Source organism: Homo sapiens, chromosome 22, assembly GCF_000001405.40.
Source record: "Homo sapiens chromosome 22, GRCh38.p14 Primary Assembly".
NCBI classification, from domain to species: Eukaryota; Metazoa; Chordata; class Mammalia; order Primates; family Hominidae; genus Homo; species Homo sapiens.
In genome coordinates this window covers 21,803,368-21,825,625 of record NC_000022.11, presented here as the reverse complement: position 1 = coordinate 21,825,625, position 22,258 = coordinate 21,803,368, and the positions used below count along the sequence as shown (strand labels likewise).

The window sequence follows — 22,258 nt, the reverse complement described above, 5'->3', positions numbered from 1 at the left end:
GAGGATGGGAAGAAAACCTAAAAATATTAGAAATTTTATGTCAAAGCCTTTGAAATGATTGTGGAAGGCTGGGCATTTATTCTAATGATACTGTCATTACTTAAAACCTGTTTGGAACATTTCCCTTGGAATTTCCTTGAATATGAGCTTATGAACCATGAAAGAGAATCAACCCCTTAATTTTGTAGCACAGCTAAATTTTTAAAAAATCACCTTTTGAGATATAATTTATATGCAATAAAATGTATCTTTTTATGTGTACTGTTCAGTGAAATCTTGACAAATGTATGTAGTTGTGTAACTGCCACCACAATAAAGATACAGAATATTTACATCACTTCAAAAAGCTTTCTTGGGTACCTTTGCAGTCAGTTTGTGCCTCAGGCAAGCACGGCTTTCTTTCCTTTTGTTTTTGAGACAGAGTCCAGCTCTGTCACCCAGGCTGGAGTGCAATGGCGCGATCTCGGCTCATTGCAACCTCCTGTCTCTCAGGTTCAACCGATTCTCCTGCCTCAGCCTCCTGACTAGCTGGGATTACAGGTGCACACCACCACGCCCAGCTAATTTTTGTATTTTTACTAGAGATGGGGTTTCACCTTGTTGGCCAAGCTGGTCTCAAACTCCTGACCTCGTCATCCACCCACCTCAGCCTCCCAAAGTCATAGGATTACAGGTGTGAGCCACTGCACCCAGCCACGGCTTCCTATCACTATAGATTAGCTTCAGCTTTTCTAGAATCTCATATAAATGGGATTTAAAAGTTTGTTCTCTTTGTGTTTGGCTTCTTTCATTTAGCATAGTGTTTTTCAGATTTGTCCTTGTTGCATGGATTAGTAGTAATTCCTTTTATTGCTGAGTACTGTCCTGTTGTATGGATGTACCACAGTTTGTTTACCCTTTGCTTGTTAATTAACATTTGGGTCGTACACAGTTTAGGGCTGTTAGGAATAAAGCTCCTACAGACATCTGTATATGAGAGTTTCAACTTTGCTGCATCCTCACCAACACTTGGTATTGGTCAGTTATTTTAGCTATTCTAATGGGTATTTGGTTTTAATTTACATTTCCTTTATGACTCATCAGTCATATTTTCATATTTGTTGTCACAAAGGAAGTGTTTATTCTTTTGCCTATTTGTAATATTGGGTTGTTTGTAGTCTTGTTTTGAAGTTTTAAGAGTTCTTTATGTATGCTAAATACAAGTCCTACATATTGCAAATTTTTTCTCCTCTCTGCACAATTCATTTTTGACCTTGATGATCTTATCTGGCCTGCTCTGCTCACCATCTCATTCGTGGATCCCACTCAGCAGCCTTTCCCTTTCAGTCTTGGCTGTCTCTTTCCATTTCCACTGTCACTGCTCTTACGCATTCCAAGGACTTTACTACTCCCTTCAGAGATGTGGTGGGTGTTTTTTTTTTTTTTTTAAATTATTATTTTACTGACTTGAGAGTGCTGCTGGATTGATAGTGACCTTGGGTCTGGGTTGCTAGATGTCCTGCAGTGGGTGGTATGGTTTCACACTGAACACTGAACTGACCTGCTTAACATGCCAATTACATCCTTGTTGCTTAGTCCACGCCACTGTCAGTCACCTCTTGCTGGTATTATGGCAGTGCTTGGAACGGTTTCCTTTTTTTTTTTTTTTAACTTTTTCCTTTTTTTATTTTTATTTTCTTTTTTTAAAATAGAGACAGGATCTCACTATGTTACCCAACCTGATCTCGAACTTCTGGGTTCAAGCAGTCCACCTGCCTTGGCCTCCTAAAGCACTGGGATTACAGGCATGAGCCACTGCCCCCAGCCACTTTTTCCTTTTTACAGTTCAGTTTTTCTCTTATTTGGTAAGATCATTTACAAAATATAAGTTGGATACTTTTATTCCCCAGTTTAAAGTGAAAGGACACTTAAAAGATAAATCCTTAGCATAACTGCTGGGTCACTGCGCATTTCTTCTGCCTCATCGTGAGCCACGCTCTCTCTGGTACACTGTAGCCACAGTGGTCTTCTTAGGGCTTCTGGTCTACTTCTGGTCTACTTCTGGTCTACCCTCTCCCTGCTTGTAGAATACTTGCTGCCTTTGCCACCCAGCAACCTGGCTAATTCCGGCTTATCCTTCAGTTCTCTGTTTAAATGCCTTCCCTAATTTCTTTAGAGAAGAAGAGTCTTCCGTAAGCTTCTAATTTAAACTAAGTTTTCTAGTTATCCTTAATAACATTAATTATATAACTTGCATTTTCCTTAGCAATTATCATAATTTATAATGTAGTCATGTTTATGACAAATATGTTTATTAATACCTATGTCTCTCTCTCTTATTTTTTTTTTGTGATGGAGTCTCCCTCTGTCACCCAGGCTGGAGTGCAGTGGCGCGATCTCAGCTCACTGCAACCTCTGCCTCCCGGGTTCAAGCGATTCTCCTGTCTCAGCCTCCCGAGTAGCTGGGACTACAGATGGCACGGCACCACGCCCAACTAATTTTTGTATTTTCAGTAGAGATGGAGTTTCACCATATTGATCAGGCAGGTCTCAAACTCCTGACCTCAGGTGATCCACCCGCCGCAGCCTCCCAAAGTGCTGGGATTACAGGCATGAGCCACTGCACCCAGCCTCTATGTCTATCTCCTCTCATAGTTTATGAGGGCAGAGAGCTTTATATTTTTACTGCTTTATCCACAGTGCTTAACATAATGTAGGTGATTATTTGATAAATAAAATTAACTTTAACATTCAAATGTTTTTAAAGTTATTTGATGCACATCCTTTACGATCCCAAACTGACGTTTTTTTTCTCTTGAATACAAACTTCTGTACTAGTTTCCTGTCTCTGCCATTTCCACTGAATCTATAAATTGCCCTTATAACAAGAGTTCTCATCTTTTTTTTTTTTTTTTAATGACGTGAATCCTTTAGGCAGTTGGTGAAACTTGTGGCTCCTTTTCAGATTAATATTTTAAATGAATAAAATAAAATGTGAGATTACAAAGGGAATCAGTTATGCTGAAATACCACTTTTGAAAAATTAAGAAGTCTTTATATGTGCTTCTTTACTAATGCCGTAAATAGCAAGATCAGGCAGCAGGTCTAACAAGCACTGTAATTTCAAAGTGTTGATGGGTATAGATATTTCAAGAATTATAACTGGTCTCCCTATGTCTAGTTTTAGCCTCTTTAGTCAGTTTTTTTTTTCTTTTTTTTTCCTTTTTGAAATGGAGTTTTGCTCTGTCGCCCAGGCTGGAGTGCAGTGGCACGATCTCGGTTCACTGCACCCTCCACCTCCTGGGTTCAAGCAGTTCTTCTGCCTCAGCCTCCCAGGTAGCTAGAATTACAGGAGCCTGCCACTACGTGCCTGGCTAATTTTTGTATTTTTGGTAGAGACAGGGTTTCACCATGTTGGTCATGCTGGTCTTAAACTCCTGACTCCAGGTGATCCACCTGCCTTAGCCTCCCAAAGTGCTTGGGATTACAGGCGTGAGCCACCACGCCTGGCCTTCAGTCAGTTCTATACCTGTGTTTCTGATTCCCTTCCCCTCCCCTCCCCTCCCCTGCCTTCCCTGAGACAGAGTCTCACTCTGTCACCCAGGCTGGAGTGCAATGGCATGATCTTGGCTCACTGCAGCCACCGCCTTCTGGGTTCAAGTGATGCTCCTGCCTCAGCCTCCCAAGTAGCTGGGATTACAGGCACGCACAACCATGCCTAATTTTTGTGTTTTTAGTAGATACAGGGTTTCACCATGTTGGCCAGGCTGGTCTTGAACTCCTGACCTCAGGTGGTCCACCTGCCTCAGCCTCCCAAAGTGCTGGGATTACAGGCATGAGCCACCACATCCAGACTCTTCATCTTCTGTTATTGAAGTAAAGTACAGATTTCTCAGCTTTTTAGTAACATCACCTTTTGTTCTTCCCCTGGACAGGTGTAAACTCCAGCCATATTGAACTATCCAGCACCTGGTACCCAGCCTTCCGTGCTTCAGCTTCTGTAGCTCCTTCTTCCTTAAGTGCTTTTTCGTGTGCTGCCTATTAAAATCCTACCTGCTTTTCAAGGCACCATTAAATACCACCTTCTTAGAGAGAGGTCCACAGATACTAACATAGAGCAGAGCCTGACAGATAATAAACACTCAATAAATTGTAGGTATTATTAAGTGAGAATTGTTCATAACTTCTTTTCAATACCATCATTACCTGGTTCCCAATAAATGAACTGTAAATATTTTGAGTAATATACATCTATAAACTAAGACAAAGCAGTATTATCAGTAAGTGTAAGCAAGTTTAAAGTGAATGCGTAAATGATTAATGTGTAGAATTTATTTTTAATCTCAGTTTAAATGTTTGTCAGTTTTAATCAGAGCATAGTGAGAAAATGATTTCATGGGCAGACATGGACATTTCTTATTCTTCATACTTAATCACAAACCCCACCAATCTATAATAAGATTGATTTCGAGTACTGTCAGTCTTTTTTTGTGAAACAGAATCCTCAAGCTCCTAAGAATTCTGTTTTTTGGCCGGGCGCGGTGGCTCACGCCTGTAATCCTAGCACTTTGGGAGGCCGAGACGGGCGGATCACGAGGTCAGGAGATCGAGACCATCTTGGCTAACACGGTGAAACCCCGTTTCTACTAAAAATACAAAAAATTAGCCGGGCGTGTTGGCGGGCGCCTGTAGTCCCAGCTACTTGGGAGGCTGAGGCAGGAGAATGGCATGAACCTGGGAGGCGGAGCTTGCAGTGAGCCGAGATCGCGCCACTGCACTCCAACCTTGGGAGACACAGCGAGACTCCGTCTCAAAAAAAAAAAAAAAAAAGAATTCTGTTTTTTAATACCTTTAATGTACTTAAATTGCTAATGAGTGTATATGTCTGCCTCATATAAAATACACCAAAAACGGAAGTCTTCACATAGGAAGAAACAAGACTTTAAAGTACTGTGTATTGCATTAACCATATTAACATTTGTTGCTTTTCACACGGTAGTAAATATGGTGTTGAAAGGAGGAGACGGGCGGGCGCAGTGGCTCATGCCTGTAATCCCAGCACTTTGGGAGGCTGAGGCGGGCGAATCACAAGGTCAGGAGTTCAAGACCAGCCTGACGAACATGGTGAAACCCCGTCTCTACTAAAAATACAAAAATTAGCCGGGCATGGTGGCACACGCCTGCTACTCAGGAGGCTGAGGCAGGAGGGTCGCTTGAACCTGGGAGGCGGAGGTCGCAGTGAGCCAAGATGGCGCCACTGTACTCCAGCCTGGACAAGAAAGCGAGACTCTGTCTCCAAAAAAAAAAAGTGGTAGCCGTATTGGAAGTGGTATAGCTGTGAGGATCAGATTGGTTCATTGCTTTCTGACCTTCTGTGGGCATTGGAGAACAATAGTAATGCCAAGTGCCCTATTTACAGGGTCAGGGCCACGGACAGACCTAAGTATTTCTACAAGAAAGCAAGTACCTTCAGGATGTGGGGGTGGGGGGGTTATGAGAAATGATAGAACAAATAAACATCAGTGAAAGGAACTGTACCTTACCACAAAAGGAAAGCTTTCAAATGAATAAAGTATTAAGAATAAAGAATAGGCTGGGCACAGTGGCTCATGCCTGTAATCCCAGCACTTTGGGAGGCCGAGGTGGGTGGATCACATGAGGTCTGGAGTTTGAGACCAGCCTGGCCAACATGGTGAAACTCTGTCTCTACTTAAAAAAAAAAAAAAAAAAATTAGCTGGGCTTGGTGGCTTGTGCCTGTAGGTTGTCCCAGCTACTTGGGAGGCTGAGGCAGGAGAATCACTTGAACCCGGGATGGGGAGATTGCAGTGAGCCGAGATCACGCCAGTGCACTCCAACCTGGATGACAGAGCAAGATTCTGTCTTTAAAAAAAAAAAAAAAGAAAAGAAAAAGACATTTGAAATATCCTTGGGTCACTTGAGCCTGGGGCCCACTGGTATTTCATGTATCTTGGGGCTAGGACAGGTGGAAGCTGAGTTGTCAAGACCAAAGTACTTCTGGCTAACAGCCTGTTCCTTATGGCATTTGTGGCCACCTGTAGGATTTTTGTTGTCATATCTTCATTGAGAGGCATCAGATAAGGATACTGTTTTTTTCCCGCCCTGCAAATTTGGTTACAACTGCAGTAAAGAAGACATGAGCTATTTAGAACATACAGTTGTGTCCTTGAGGAATTTCATCTAATTGGATGGAGACTGCTTGAACAGGACCCTGCTGGGACATGTGAGGTTTGTGAAATAAGCACCCATTTCTTGTGAGCCTGCTCTTTGCCCATTTATCCAGAGCTGTGGCTCCCCTTCATTCTGAGTTGGCTGAAAGGGCTCCTTGCCTCCGGGTGACCCAGTGCACCATCCTCCCCATTCCATTCTTTCAACAAACTGCTACCTGAGGAAAAGTTATAAAAATATAAATGTTGCCATGCTTAAAGTCTGTGCTTAGCATCCTTTGGTGGCTTCCCAGGATAAAATTACGAAAATATAAATATGGCCTGGCTCTTGCTCACCCTCCAGCTTCCCCTGTCATGTCCCTGTGTGTCCGCCTCTCTGCAGGCACTCTGTCGCCCCAGGTTCCCACAGGCCTCTGCACCACTGCCCCACATCTCCTCTGCCTGGAATTTACTCTCCCTTCTCTTCCCCCTGGTTAGCCATTGGAGCCTTCTCTTTCACCCTACCCGGTCCTGCAGCCTTCAGCCTCCCCTCCCCCAGCCCCCGACCATGGCTTTCATAACATCCTGTGCCTCTCAGTTTTTCACCTGGATTTAAGTTTTTTTCGTTATCCTTGCCTTATGATCACTCTTTAAAAAGTAGTCGGCTGTACTCTTTCTGCTCCTCTCCCCATCCTCTCCATTTCCTTACTTGAACCAAAGTTACCACACATCGTCTGGTTGCATGCAGATTCAGTGAATGCTTTCCAGTTCTTACTTTTCTCAGTCTCTCCTGTTTGAAATGCCTTCCTTCTTTGTCTTGGGAAACACCACCCTTTTCTGGTTCTGCTACATGGTTAAGCAGAACTACATGGCCTCTGGAGTTGGACAACAAAGGTTCTTTTTTTTTTGAGACTAGTCTCACTCTTTCACCCAGGCTGGAGTGCAGTGGCACAATTTTGGCTCACTGCAAGCTCTGCCTCCTGGGTTCACCCCATTCTCCTGCCTCAGCCTCCCAAGTAGCGCCAGCCACCATGCCCGGCTAATTTTTTTTGTATTTTTAGTAGAGACAGAGTTTCACCGTGTTAGCCAGGATGGTCTCGATCTCCTGACCTCATGATCCACCCGCCTCGGCCTCCCAGAGTGCTGGGATTACAGGCATGAGCCACGGCGCCTGGCCTAAAGGTTCTTACTCCATTATCATTTCTTTCCACTTTCTTTAACTGATTCCTCATCCTCATGCTGCTCCTGAGTTCTGTCTTCCGACTTCTTTTCTTGAAATTCTCTCTCTGCAGGAGTGCTAATCACTGTGGCTTCTGTTAAGAATTCCCAACTTGATCTCTCTCCTGATGCTGCTGGAAGGATGGAACCGTCATCTCCTCCATCTGAATCACTGACAGGCATTCTTAGATTTTTAAATCAGGATGCTGAAAACTATCTTTGTCCCTTACCTCCACCTTCTTTTTGTACCTCCCAGACCCAGGCCCACCTCTCACGTTTATAAGGTCTAGGTCAAGAATACAAATGGAGCCCTACATACCATTAAAAAAAAAAAAAATCAACCTAAGAAACATTAAGCAGACTTTGCTCTCTCCTCCTGCCATGACAGATATGCCTTCTTTTCCTTTTTTTTTTTTTTGAGATAGGGTCTCACTTTGTCACCCAGGCTGGAGTGCAGTGGCACAATCATGGCTCACTGCAGCCTCAACCTCCCTGGCTCAAGTGATCCTCTTGCCTAGTCCCCCAAATAGCTGGGACTACAGGCGAGTGCCACCATGCCCAGCTAATTTTTGTATTTTTTGTAGAGACAGGGTTTCATCATGTTGTCCACACTGATCTCGAACACCTGGATTCAAGTGATCTGCCCTCCTCACCCTCCCAAAGTGCTGGGATTACAAGCGTGCATCACCATGCCCACACCAGGCCTAATATACCTTCTTAATGACCTGGAAGGTTGGGTTCAAATAGAAAATACTCAGGCTCCTTAGAGTTCTATGTCAGTAGTTCCGGCAGAGCAGACCTTCAGCATAGTGCTCTTCCCTTCCCAGCCACAGCACTATCCATGTGTTGTGAGCTTGAGCACGTGTGTGGCCTCCTGCCTGCACAATGTAGGTGCAATACACGCCAGCAAGCAGCTGCCCCTTTGACCACCACCTCAAGTGCACCTGCTGGGTACAGACTACACTTTTCCAGATGCAGGGAATTCCCGGGCACCTGAGGAGCATTTTCCCCGACCCCAATAACCTTCTCTCATGGGCATGGGCATGTCTGGGTGAGGGTTAGTGGCCAGTGACCACAGATGTCTCAGTCTCTTACCTCGCCTCCTGTTTCCTCTTTCTTTTCTTTGCGGTCTTGCTTTTCTGTCAGAAGCCTACTCATCCTTCAGGATAAGGCTTTTGCGGGCCTCATCTTCTTTTAATCCTTCCCTTAGTATTTGAAGTTAACCCAGCTCCTCCTTGGGTTTCAGAAGTGCTTTAATGTGATAAAAGGCAAAGTATGTTCTCTGTTCCTGTCTCCTTCTCTCACAAAATTGCAAGTTTCTTAAGAGCAGGATCATTATTTGTTTTTGCCACCAGTCCTAACATGAAGCCTCACAAATGGGAAGTTCTTGACAAGCGTGGCTTGAATTCACCAGAACTCTGTCTTCATTTCGTGTTGTTGTGGTAACCCTATCAAAACAGGAAATAAAGCTAGTTTAGCATGACTTGTTCATAATTGACTCATGCTGGTTCCCTTTCCTTCCCTAAGCAATCATAAAACATCTGTTAAATAATCTACTTCAGAATTTCATGGACTTCTACGTTTATTGATCGGTACACTTCTAGAATCTGTATCCCAATTGCCCCAGCACTGGAATGAATCATGTGGCCAAAGAACCCTGGTTCTTTTTTTTTTTTTTTAACTGCTTTACTAAGAAGTAATTGATATACAAAATATTGCACACATTTAAAGTATAAAGTTGGATAAGTTTTAATACATTATACACCTATGAAACCATCAACACAATTAGGATAAGGAACATACTCATTGCCTCCAAAAGTTACCTCATTTCCATTTGCAATCTTCTTCCTCCCATTCCCAGGCAATCCTGGGGGTAAATCCAAAGTAAACCCAGGATTACTTTGTATTTTCTATAGATGGAAATACATTTCTTTTGGTCTGGCTTCACTCACCATAATTACTTGAGATTCATCTGTGCTGCATATATCAATAGTTCATTTCCTGTTATTATCAAATAGGAATCTCATTTCCTTTTATTATCAAATAGCAGGAATCTATCTGTTTTGAGACTTGAGATGGGTGTGCTCACTTCAGACCTTAATGTCCTCCCATTCTCCATAATTTATGGGTCTTAGGATAGAATTCATCTGGGACTTGAGGTTGTGTTCATTTAAGATGACTAGACACTCTCAATATCTTGGGTTCCTCAAGGGAAGAGTATTATTATTATTATTATTATTTTTTTTTTTTTTTGAGATGGAGTCTAGCTCTGTCGCCCAGGCTGGAGAACAGTGGTGCAGTCTCGGCTCACTGCAGCCTCCGCCTCCCGGGTTCAACTGATTTTCCTGCCTCAGCCTCCCAAGTAGCTGGGACTACAGGCGCATGCCACCATGCCCAGCTAATTTTTTTTTTATCTTTAGTAGAGATGGGGTTTCGCCATGTTGGCCAGGCTGGTCTCAAACTCCTGACCTCATGATCCGCCTGCCTTGGCCTCCCAAAATGCTGGGAGTACAGATGTGAAAACCACCCCCAGCCCAGAGTATTATTTATAATTTTTGCGTCCTAATGTTAGAATAGTTCTTGATATATAGAAGGTACTAACCCAAAGCTGGATAAAAGTTTCCCCCTTTATTGGCCAGGTGTGGTGGTTCACGCCTATAATCCTAGTACTTTGGGAGGCTAAGGCAAGAGGATCACTTGAGTTCAGGAGTTCGAGATCAGCCTGGGCAACATTGTAGAACCCTGTCTCTACAAAAAAACTTTTTAAAATTAGCCAGGTGTGGTGGTGCTCACCTGTGGTCCCCACTATGCTACTTGAGAGGTTGGGGCTGCAGTCAGCCATAATTGTGCCAGTACACTCTAGCATGGGTGACAGAGTAGCCCATCTCAAAAGAAATAAAAGGGCCAGGTGCAGTGGCTCACGCCTGTAATCCCAGCACTTTGGGAGGCCGAGGCCGAGGATCATGAGGTCAGGAGATCGAGACCATCCTAGCCAACATGGTGAAACCCTATCTCTACTAAAATACAAAAAATTAGCTGTGCGTGGTGACGGGCACCAGTAGTCCCAGCTACTCAGGAGGCTGAGGCAGGAGAATCGCTTGAACCCAGGAGGCGGAGGTTGCAGTGAGCCCAGATGGCACCACTGCACTCCAACCTGGGCAACAGAGCGAGACTCCATCAAAAAAAAATTAATACTTAATTTTTTTCCCTCTTTAACATGTTTCTTTCCCCCTTAAAAAAATTTTTTTTAAGCTAGGTGCCATGGCATGTGCGTATAGTCCCAACTACTCTGAAGCCTGAGGAAGTGATCTCAGGAGTTCAGGACCGGCCTGGGCAGCATAGTGAGACTTCATCTCTCTCTCTCTCTCTCTCTCTCTCTCTCTCTCTCTCTCTCTCTCTCTCTCTCTCTGTCTCTCTCGCTTTTTTTCCCCCTGAGATGGAGTCTTGCAGTGTCGCCCAGAGCTGGAGTACAGTGGCGTGATCTCAGCTCACTCAACCTTTGCTTCCCGGATTCAAGCAATTCTCCTGCCTCAGCCTCCTGAGTAGCTGGGATTACAGGCGCGTGCCACCACGCCCTGCTAATTCTTGTATTTTTAGTAGAGACAGTGTTTCACCATGTTAGCCAGGCTGGTCTCGATCTCCTGACCTCGTGATCCACCCACCTCAGCTTCCCAGAGTGCTGGGATTACAGGCGTGAGCCACCGTGCCCAGCCGAGACTTCATCTCTTTACAAAGTAAAATTGTTTTGGTTAATTATATGTTTTGGTAAAAAGCATACAATTTGCCATCTTAATCATTTTTAAGTACACAGTTCAGTAGAGTTAAGTATATTCACATTGTTGCACAATAGATCTAGAACTTTTTCATCTTGGAAAATTGAAAACCTGTACTCTTGAACACATCTCCCCATTTCTCCCTCTCCTCAGCCATTTTTAACCACCATTCTCCTTTCTGATTCTATGAGTTTGTTAATTTTGGATACCTCATATAAGTGAAATTATGCAGTATTTGTCTTTTGTGACTTATTTCTGTTGATATAATGTCCTCAAGCTTCATCCATGTTATAGCATGTGATAGAATGACCTTTTTGGTTTTTCCCCCACCTTTATTGGGGCATAATTGACAAATAAAAGTTGTATATATTTACTGTGTTAAATGTGATGTTTTGATATGTGTATACCTTGCGAAATGATCCCCACAGTAAAGCTAATTAAGATACCCATCAACTCACATAGTTAACGTTTGTGTGTGGTGGGGGCAAGAACATTTTTTTTTTTCTTCTTTGGAGACAGTTTCACTCTTGTTGTCCAGGCTGGAGTGCAGTGGTGCCATCTTGGCTCACTGCAACCTCCGCCTCTTGGGTTCAAGTGATTCTCCTGACTCAGCCTCCCAAGAAACTGGGACTACAGACGCGTACCACCACGCCTGGCTAACTTTGGTATTTTTAGTAGAGACAGGGTTTCACCATGTTGGCCAGGCTGGTGTCAAACTCCTGACCTCAGGTGATCCGCCTGCCTTGGCCTCCCAAAGTGCTGGGATTACAGACGTGAGCCACCGTAGGTGGCTGATAATAGCCATTCTAATAGCTGTGAGGTGATATCTCATTGTGGTTTTGATTGGCATTTTTCTGATTAGTGATGTTGAGCCTTTTTTCATATACCTGTTGGCCATTTGTATGTCTTACTTTGAGTAATGTCTATTCGGGTTCTTTGCCCCCACTCCCTACCACCCGCACCTGCTTTTTTCCATTTTTGAGACAGGGTCTCTCTATGTTGCCCAGGCTGGTCTTGAACTCCTGGTCTCAAGCAGTCTGCCTACCTCAGCCCCCTGAATAGCTAGGACTACAAGCAGGTGCCACTGCACCTGGCCTTTGCCCATTTTTAAATATTTTGTTTGTTTCCTGCTGTTGAATTGTGTGAATTTCTTATATATTTAAATATTAGCCCCTTATCAGATATGTGGTTTGTAAATATTTTCTCCCATTCATTGGGTTGTCTCTTCACTCTGTTGATTGTTGCTTGTGCTGTGCAGAAGCTTTTTAGTTTGATTCAATTCCATTTGTCTGTTTTTGCTTTTGTTGCCTGTGCTTTGGGAGTCACAACCAAAAAATAATTGCCCAGACCAATGTCAAGAAGCTTTCCCCCTGTATTTTCTTCTAGTAGTTTTTGTTTGTTTGTCTGTTGTTTATTTGTTTGCTTTTGCTTTTTTTTTTTTTTTTTTTTTTGAGACGGAATCTCTCTCTGTCATCCAGGCTGGAGTGCAGTGGCACGATCTCAGCTCACTGCAAGCTCTGCCTCCCAGGTTCACGCCATTCTCCTGCCTCAGCCTCCCGAGTAGCTAGGACTACAGGCGCCTACCACCACGCCCGGCTAATTTTTTTTTTTTTTTTTTTTGTATTTTTAGTAGAGACAGGGTTTCACCGTATTAGCCAGGATGGTCTCGATCTCCTGACCTCGTGATCCACCCGCCTTGGCCTCCCAAAGTGCTGGGATTACAGGGTGAGCCATTGCGCCCAGCCTTTTCTAGTTTTTATAATTTCAGGTTTTACAATTTTTGTCTTTAATCTGTCTTGATTTGATTTTTGTATAGGGTGTGAAATAAGTATCCATTTTATTCTTTAGCAAGTAGATATCCAATTTTCCCAGCACCATTTATTGAAGAGACTATCCTTTATGTTTGGACTCTTTATTCTGTTCCATTTGTCTATTTGTCTGTTTTTATGCCAGTACCATGCTGATTCCCTGCCCCCCACCCAGCTTTATTAAGGTATAATTGACAAATACAAATTAGTATATGAAACTGAGGTGGAAGTGCTGGAAAAATAATTAGTATATATTCATGATATACAACATGATGTTTTGATATATGTGTATATTGTGAAATGATTAAAGCAAGGTAATTAACATATCTGTCATCTCACATACTTTTTGTGGTGAGAATGTTTAAGATCTAATCTTTTAGTAATTTGCAAGTATATAATACATTATTATTAACTGTAGTCACCATGCTGTAGGATAGAGCTCTAGAACTTATTCATCCTGGTTAACTGAAACTTTATACTCTAACAAATTATCTGCACATTTCACCCTATCCCCGCAGTGTTGTGCTGTTTTGGTTACTATAGCTTTGTAGTGTATTTTGAAATCAAGTGATGTGAAGCCACCACTTTGTTCTTGCTCAGGATTGCTTTGGCTATATGGGATCTTTTGTGGTTCCATATATGAATTTAAAGATTACATTTTCTGTTTCTGTGAAAAATGCCATTGGAACTTTGATAGGGATTACATTGACTCTGCAGACCACACTGAGTAGTGTAGACACTTTAAGAATATTAAGTCAGACCAGGCACAATGGCTCATGCCTGTAATCCCAGCACTTTGGGAGGCTGAGGTGGGAGGATCACTTATGACCAGGAGTTCAAGACCAGCCTGGATAACATAGTGAGACCCCATATCTACCAAAAAGTTTTTAAATTAAAAACAATTGGCCGGGTGCGGTGGCTCACACCTGTAATCCCAGCACTTTGAGAGGCCAAGGCGGGCAGATCACGAGGTCAGGAGATCGAGACCATCCTGGCTAACATGGTGAAACCCCATCTCTACCAAAAATACAAAAAAAAAGGAAATTAGCCGGGCGTGGTGGTGGGCCCCTGTAGTCCCAGCTACTCGGGAGGCTGAGGCGGGAGAATGGCGAGAACCCAGGAGGCGGAGCTTGCAGTGAGCCAAGATGCGATACTGCACTCCAGCCTGGGCGACAGAGCGAGACTCTGTCTCAAATAAATAAATAAATAATAAAAACAATTAGGCATGGTTTTTGGATGCTGAATTGAATTTCTTTGTGTGTGTGTGTGGTTTTTTTTTTTTTTTTAAAGACTGAATAATATTCCACTCTATGTATATGCTACATTTTCTTTATCCATTCATCCATAGTGGACATTTCGGTTGCTTCCACATCTTGGGTATTGTGCGTAATGCTGCACAATGAACCTGCCAGTAGCTCTTAGAGATTCTACTTTGAATTGTTTTGGATATATGCTCAGAAGTGGGATTGCTGGACCATATGGGAATTCTATTTTTAATTTTTTGAGGAATTTCCAAGTGGTTACACCATTTTGCACACTCAACAATAGAGTATGAAGGTTCAAATTTATCCACATCACACTTACGGTTTTCTGTTTGTTTGTTTGTTTGTTTTTAAATAGTGGCAGTCCTGGCTGGTCGTGGTGGGTGGCTCACGCCTGTAATTCCAGCACTTTGGGAGGCCAAGGCAGGCGGGTCACCAGGTCAGGAGATCCTGTAATTCCAGCTACTCAGGAGACTGAGGCAGGAGAATTGCATAAACCCAGGAGGCAGACGTTGCAGTAAGCCGAGATTGAGCCACTGCACCCCAGCCTGGCGACATAGCGAGACTCCGTCTCAAAAAAAAAAAAGGCATAACGTTGAATACACGTTTCAAAAGAAGACATAAGAAAAGATGGTCATCATCATGAATCAGAGAAATGCAAATCAAAACCACAATGAGCTATCACCACACACCCATTAGGACTGACCCCCACTTTTTTTTTTTTTGTTTTTTGAGACTGAGTCTCACTCTGTCACCAGGCTGGAGTGCAGTGGCGCGATCTTGGCTCACTGCAGCCTCCATCACCTGGGTTCAAGCCATTCTTCTGCATCAGCCTCCCAAGTAGCTGGGACTATGGGCGCGCACCACCCCACCCAGCTAATTTTTGTATTTTTGGTAGAGATGGGGTTTCACCATTTTGGACAGGATGGTGTCAATCTCGTGACCTCATGATCCGCCTGCCGTGACCTCATGATCCGCCTGCCTTGGCCTCCCAAAGTGCTGGGATTACAGACATGAGCCACCGCACCCGGCCTTCTTTTTTAATGAACCATCTTTGGATTCCTGTGATAAGAGACACACTTATAGCAAAAACCTGTAGTGTGGTGGTAGTTAGGGACAAAAGGGGTTGAGCAAAACAAGACACAGTTGGTAATGTCAAAGTGATTTTAAAGCATAAATGTTTATAGACACCTGAAAGTTCATGGTATGCCTTATTTACCAAGTATCAACAATAAAATATGTAAAACAAAACCGAGAAATCCAAGGAGAAACTAGCAAGTATGGAATCATTATGGAAGAGTGTAACCCTCTTTGTCATCAGTTCTATGAAAGATAGATTGCATAAACCAAAAAGGCAGCAGAATGGTTAAGCGGAGCAGACAGGAACAGACAAAACTCCTTTTTTTCAAGTGGGACCAGATGAGGATGATCTCATATTTTCTTACTTAAAAGGAGGCAGTTGGCCGGGCATGGTGGCTCACCCTGTAATCCCAGCCCTTTGCAAGGCCGAGGCGGGGCCTATCACGAGGTCAGGAGATTGAAACCATCCTGGCTAACACGGTGAAACACCGTCTCTACTAAAGATACAAAAAATTAGCCAGGCGTGGTGGCGGGGCCTGTAGTCCCAGCTACTCGGGAGGCTGAGGCAGGAGAATGGCCTGAACCCAGGAGGGGGAGCTTGCAGTGAGCCAAGATCGCACCACTGCACTCCAGCCTGGGCGACAGAGCGAGACTGCTTCCACAAAAAAATTTTAAAGAGGCCGGGGGGGAGGGCAGTTATTTCGTCACTGAGTGTTGATACAGTAGAGGGGCACACTGACCATAAACTCCTCTCTCCAAAAATTTTGTTGGATTATAATTTTGCAGAACAAATTATGACCACTTGTGACTGTTAACACTAGAAATTTATAATATTAACACTAGAAAATTGTAATGTTGAGTTTAAACCAGCATTTTATAACTAATCCGTGCTGTTGTTGAACTCTTGTTCTATGATTTGAATTACCAAAATAGAATTTTTTTCTAAAAATATTCCCAATATTGAATAAGCTTGCTTATTATATATGCTTTTTAATACTATGTTAAATTATTACTATTATATATGCTGTTGCCTAACTGAAAATCACTGGCTTAGGGCCTCATGTACCAAACCAAAGCAAAATAAGATTTGAGTAGTGGTTATTTTACTTAAGAAAATATACTTCATTTCAAAGCATTTGGGGCCACCTGTGTACTATATGTTAATGGTGTTGTAGGATAATTGGATCCTAGTAAGACAAAGTTCTCCTCCAGAGCATTATCTTGTCATAGAATCAGACAAATGTATCAATAATTCTTAGGATTAGTAGACTGATAAATATTATAGAAGCATAAACTTTATTTAATTTAGAGACGGAGTCTCACTCTGTCGCCCAGGCTGGAGTGCAGTGGTACAATCTTGGCTCACTGCCACGTGCATCTCCCAGGTTCAAGTGATTCTTGTGCCTCAGCCTCCCAAGTAGCTGGGATTGTAGGCACTTGCCACCATGCCTGGCTAATTTTTTTGTATTTTTAGTAGAGGCGGGGTTTCACCATGTTGTCCAGGCTGGTCTCAAAACTCCTGTCCTCAAGTGATCCAGCCGCCCCAGCTTCCCAAAGTGCTGGGATTGCAGGTGTGAGCCACTGCACCCGGCCCTAGAAGCATAAATTTTAGAATAAAGTTATTTTACTGCTTTCTATTCTAGCACTTACCCCAAGGAAACAAGAAATGTTGTCTTACTGCCTGTCAATGTTATTTGATTGCTTTGGTCAGTGGGCCAGATGTTGACATTTATTAATATGAAAATTTCTTATACACAAGATTGTAATAGAATGTTTATCATAAAGATAGTAGTAATACTCAAGATTCAAATTCATAAAATTGAAGGTATAATTTTTATTATTGCTTTTGCTTATAATTCTGGTTTATCAGACATTAAGGACAACTAGGAAAGAACTGGGCCCCATGTTATTGCCACAAATATGTTTTTTGAAGAATACTTTTCTAGGTTTTGTTATAAAACTACCCAAACATCTTGATTCAGTTTCTTGGGGGAAGAAATGGTCATGTTGTTTTGCAAGTGAGAGAAACAAAGTTAATAGAAGTAATCAAGGTGTTCTCTTGGGTCCATTTTTGTTAGGGATAAAGATGTACAGTTGTAGGTTATTTGAATGTTTCTTCTGTGTCAGAGGAATTTGATACAACAGTAAGAAGGTGTTTCAGAGACAGAAGTGATTACTCTCACCAGAATGCAGTTGCTGTTTAAGACAATGGGAGAATGCTTGTTTGTGTATTTCTGGGTTTATAAAGGCAAGACTTTCACCCAGTTAACAGGGCTAGGTTCTCTGTTAGTTTTGAGAGTCACTGTGTGCTCTCTCATGTCAGTTGCATCCATCCTCCCTAGCTTGAGGCCTTTTTGTGGATAATATACATGCTGCCTTCACGGGTATGAAACAGGTGTTTACACAGTGTTAAAAATATAATACTTTACCAACTTGCCTTCTTCAAATATTCTGAGGGCTGTTTTTAATGCCATCTCTCTCTCTCTTTTTTAAGCTCTGCTTATGATAATGTCAACAAAGTTCGAGTAGCTATCAAGAAAATCAGCCCCTTTGAGCACCAGACCTACTGCCAGAGAACCCTGAGGGAGATAAAAATCTTACTGCGCTTCAGACATGAGAACATCATTGGAATCAATGACATTATTCGAGCACCAACCATCGAGCAAATGAAAGATGTGTATCCTTTTTAGGCAACTGGCCAATTCCACTGCTTGGTAACCTTGTTGAGTAAATAGAACTTGAAATTTCCTGAACTTAAAGGAAAAGTGCATTAAACATGCTAAAGGGAAAATCGTAATCTGTTTGCTATTTACTCCCTAAGTCTAGTCATGGAAAATCTTGGTTAACTCTGTTTGCAGTCATGTTTCTTCTGTCCAAGGGATGGTTTGTTGTGATGATGAAAAGGTAAAGGGAAGATCAGTAGTAGACTAAGAAAGAGGGTGCCCTGGCTATCTACCTGGTGAAATCAGGACTGTCCTGATCTTAAGAGTCAGGTTACCACTTTAGGTCTCAGTTTCCCCACCTTTAAAATGAAGGAACTGGTCGTCATGATCTTTAAGGTCAACTGAGGTCTGAAATTATGTGATTAACTCTGACCAACATTTAGAAATCTGGACTGAACAGATCTAGAGGATGCTGCCTGGGTAAAGGCTCCATTTGAAAGATAGAGAGGTTAAGTATACTGAAGAGGATCTGCCAGAAGGGAAAGGGTTATACAGCACTCCTACCAGTTTACCCAATTTGTATTCCGCCCCTCCAGGGTGCGGGAGCTCGCTGTTTCTAGGCAGCCCTTTCCATTTTTAAACAGCTCTGTTAATAAGTTGTAGTGATATTTGAAGTGAAATGCCTCCTGCCACTACCACCTGTTGGTCCTGCTTTACTTTTTGCCATGAAAATAAGCCTCTCTCAGATGACAGATTTTTAAATCATGTTTCCTTTGAATCCCATGCTGCGCCTCCTATAGCATAAATCTGTAAGAAACAGAGACTAGTGTTTACACAGAAGTGAGTAAAAGAAATGTAGAAATACTGCTAATGAAATAATACTATGATGAAGTTAAAGGCTAAATGCTTTAATAATTTAATTTCTGTGAGAAAGAAAGTAGCCATAGCTAAACTTTTAGGTAGTTAAGTACGTGACCAGGCAAGAAAGCATGAGGAGGAAAACTAGCACAAACCCCTTCTTAGAACGACTTGCCCATAGTCTTACTTATTTAAGATCTTAACAGTAATGGAAGAGTCAAGAAAATAGACTTAGGGTTGGATTTACTAGTAAGAGTATGTTTCTAGACCTGTATTTCTGGAAGTTTTATGTTTGGCTTTTGAGGAGCTTGGGAGAGGAGGGGAGCGGCAACAAGAAGTAAAAAGAATAGTGACATTACAGGTTACTGGACCAAACAGAGGAGGGAGTATCTGCTACTTACAGGCTAACAGTGTTTCCAGCAAACCTTGGAGGGGGTTCGTTGATGGTGGACAATTTAGAGAGCAAAGAGGTTGAGACTTCAAGATTGACCAGAATTTCCCTAACAGCCTGTTTCAGATCTCAGTCTAGGCCCATAGCCGCATCAGTCAGATGTAATGCTGGAATGCCTGCCATCTCACAGGACCTAAAAGGAGTTAACGACTTCAGATTCTTTCCATGAAGGAAACCAAGTTTTCCTCAGTTTCTTCTTTCCTTTAAGGGCTTCATGGTGTAATGATGGACTGTTTGGGAAGAGAGTCAAGAGAGGATGCATTTTTGTTTTCAATGCTTTGCTAAATGTGACCAGCTAATTGGTGTTTTACCTTAACCTGTGCAAACAGATATATAGTACAGGACCTCATGGAAACAGATCTTTACAAGCTCTTGAAGACACAACACCTCAGCAATGACCATATCTGCTATTTTCTCTACCAGATCCTCAGAGGGTTAAAATATATCCATTCAGCTAACGTTCTGCACCGTGACCTCAAGCCTTCCAACCTGCTGCTCAACACCACCTGTGATCTCAAGGTCAGCCAGGTTATTTACTATTAAGGTGATATATATTGAAAAACCCTTTCACTGAAGCATAGTTATATTTGTCATTATTCATATTTTAAATTACACCAGAAATACCCAAAAACATGTTTATGGCAAAAATGCTAATAAAGTGTGGTAGTCCTCTTCTTCTTCCTTATCCCATTGCTCCTTTCTCCCCAGAGATACCTTTTTTTTTTTTTTCTTAAAGACAGAGTCTTAGTATGTTGCCCAGGCCGGTCTGGAACTCCTGGGCTCAAGCAGTCCTCCTTTCTTGGCCTCCCAAAGTGCTGGGATTATGTATGTGGGCCACAGCACCAGGCCGTGATAACTAACTACTATAACAAATTGGTGGCCAGTTGCGGTGGCTCACGCCTGTAATCCTAGCACCTTGGGAGGCCAAGGTGGGCCTTATCACCTGAGGTCAGGAGTTCAAGACCAGCCTGGCCAACATGGCGAAACCCCATCTCTACTAAAAATACAAAAATCAGCCGGGCGTGGTGGCATGCGCCTGTAATCCCAGCTACATGGGAGCTGAGGTAGGAGAACCGCTTGAACCTGGGAGGCGGAGGTTGCAGTGAGCCGAGATCACACCACTGCACGCCAGCCTGGGTGACAAAGCAAAACTCTGTCCTAAAAAACAAAGTGTATTTTCTCCCAAAGTATTTTCTATGCTCTTGCATACATGTGTATTTTTATACTTTATATAGATAAACAGGATCACGTACATTATGTGTTAGTTTTTTTGTTCGTTTGTTTGTTTTTTGAGATGGAGTCTCGCTCTGTCACCCAGGCTGGAGTGCAGTGGCGCGATCTCAGCTCACTGCAAGCTCTGCTTCCCAGGTTCCCGCCATTCTCCTGCCTCAGCCTCCCGAGTAGCTGGGACTACAGGCACCTGCCACCACGCCTGGCTAATTTTTCTTTGTTTTTGTATTTTTGTAGAGATGGGGTTTCACCGTGTTAGCCAGGATGGTCTCAATCTCCTGACCTTGTGATCCGCCCACCTTGGCCTCCCAAAGTGCTGGTATTACAGGCGTGAGCCACCGCGCCTGGCCTTATGTGTTAGTTTTAAAATCATGTTTTGTTGGTGACATTTTTCTTCAATAAATTTTATTCAAAAGATAGCAGCAGAAAACTTAACGTCACTGACTTTAATACCTAATAAGGCATTCCAACTAAATAAGAAAACCCCAAATTCTTTACAGTCCTCAGAGTTCTGAAAATATGCAGCATTTACATATTTCTGTTTTAATGGGTGTTACAGGTAAACGAGGGAAATTTATGGATATCTTAGATGTGACGGAGCGATGTCGATTCAGTCTAAAAAAATGCACAGGAATTCAAGAAGACCTAAATAAATGGGAAGGCATCCCATGTCTGTGGATCATAAGACTTAATACTGTTAAGATGGCAGTATTCTCCAAATTGATTTGCAGATTTAGTGCAATCCCTATCAAAGCCCCCAGTTGTTTTTTTCTGTAGAAATTGACAGGCTGATCCCAAAATTCATATGGAAATTCATATGGAGAACTGATACACTTCCTGATTTCAAAACTTACTGCAAAACACAGTAATCAAGACAGTGTGCTACTGGCATAAGAATAGACATATAGGTCAGTGGAATAGAAGTGAGAGTCAGTAAATAAACCCGTGTATCTATGGTCAACTGATTTTTGGCAAGGATGCCAGGACCATTCACTGGGGAAAGAATAGTCTTTTCAGCAAATGAATCTGGGACAACTGAATAGCCACATACAAAAAGATGAAAAAATTAACTCAAAATGGCTGGGTGCAGTGGTTCGCGCCTGTAATCCCAGCACTTTGGGAGGCCAAGGCCTGTGGATTGCCTGAGCTCCGGAGCAAGACCAGCCTGGGCAACATGGCAAAACCCCATCTCTACCGAAAATACAAAAAAATTAATCTGGGCGTGGTGGCATGTGCCTGTGGTCCCAGCTACTCAGGAGGCTGAGTGGGAGGACTGCTTGAGCCTGGGAGGTGGAAATTGCAGTGAGCAGAGATTGCACCACTGCACTCCATCTGGGGTGACAGAGTGAGACCTTGTCTCAAAAGGAAAAAAAAATTCAAAATGGATTGAAGAACTCAATTAAAAGCTAAAACTTTAATACTCTTAGAAAACATAGAAGTAAATCTTTGCAATCTTATGTTAGGCAAAGCTTCTTAGACATGACACCAAAAGCACAAGCAACAAAAGAAAAAAGTAAGTGGATTCCATCAAGATTAGAAACTTGTGCTACAAAGCAAACCATCAAAAAAGTGAAAAGGCAAGCCACAGAATGAGAGAAGGTATTTGCAAATCATACATCTGATAAGGGACTTAAAACTAGAATATATGAAGAACTCTTATAACTCAATAATGAAAAGATAAATAGCCTAGTTTAAAAAATGGACAAAGGATCTGAATAGACATTTCTCTAAAGAAGATATACAGATGGCAATAAGCACATGGAATGATAGA

The 22,258-nt window shown here is 42.5% G+C and overlaps 1 protein-coding gene across 2 annotated transcripts in view, besides 3 other annotated features; it reads left to right on the top strand.

Moving 5' to 3' along the window:
* MAPK1 (mitogen-activated protein kinase 1) overlaps nucleotides 1-22,258 on the top strand; it is a 108,024-nt gene that overhangs the window by 42,055 nt on the left and 43,711 nt on the right. For both annotated transcript variants that reach the window (NM_002745.5, NM_138957.3), the window contains exons 2-3: nucleotides 17,780-17,962; nucleotides 19,587-19,776. In NM_002745.5, coding sequence (NP_002736.3) covers nucleotides 17,780-17,962; nucleotides 19,587-19,776 — 373 coding nt within the window. The remainder of the gene's footprint in view (nucleotides 1-17,779; nucleotides 17,963-19,586; nucleotides 19,777-22,258) is intronic.
* Nucleotides 8,672-8,966: an enhancer, noted in NCBI's record as "tiled region #14215; K562 Activating DNase unmatched - State 25:Art". NCBI's record gives its function as "activates a minimal TATA promoter and a strong SV40 promoter by Sharpr-MPRA in K562 cells {active_cell/tissue: K562}" and the evidence as "EXISTENCE:reporter gene assay evidence [ECO:0000049][PMID:27701403]".
* Nucleotides 8,763-8,882: a silencer, noted in NCBI's record as "silent region_13516". NCBI's record gives its function as "represses an Ori minimal core promoter by ATAC-STARR-seq in GM12878 lymphoblastoid cells {active_cell/tissue: GM12878}" and the evidence as "EXISTENCE:reporter gene assay evidence [ECO:0000049][PMID:35858748]".
* Nucleotides 13,881-14,095: a silencer, noted in NCBI's record as "fragment chr22:22165820-22166034 (GRCh37/hg19 assembly coordinates)". NCBI's record gives its function as "represses an EF-1alpha promoter that drives an FKBP-Casp9 reporter gene in an ReSE screen in HepG2 liver carcinoma cells {active_cell/tissue: HepG2}" and the evidence as "EXISTENCE:reporter gene assay evidence [ECO:0000049][PMID:32094911]".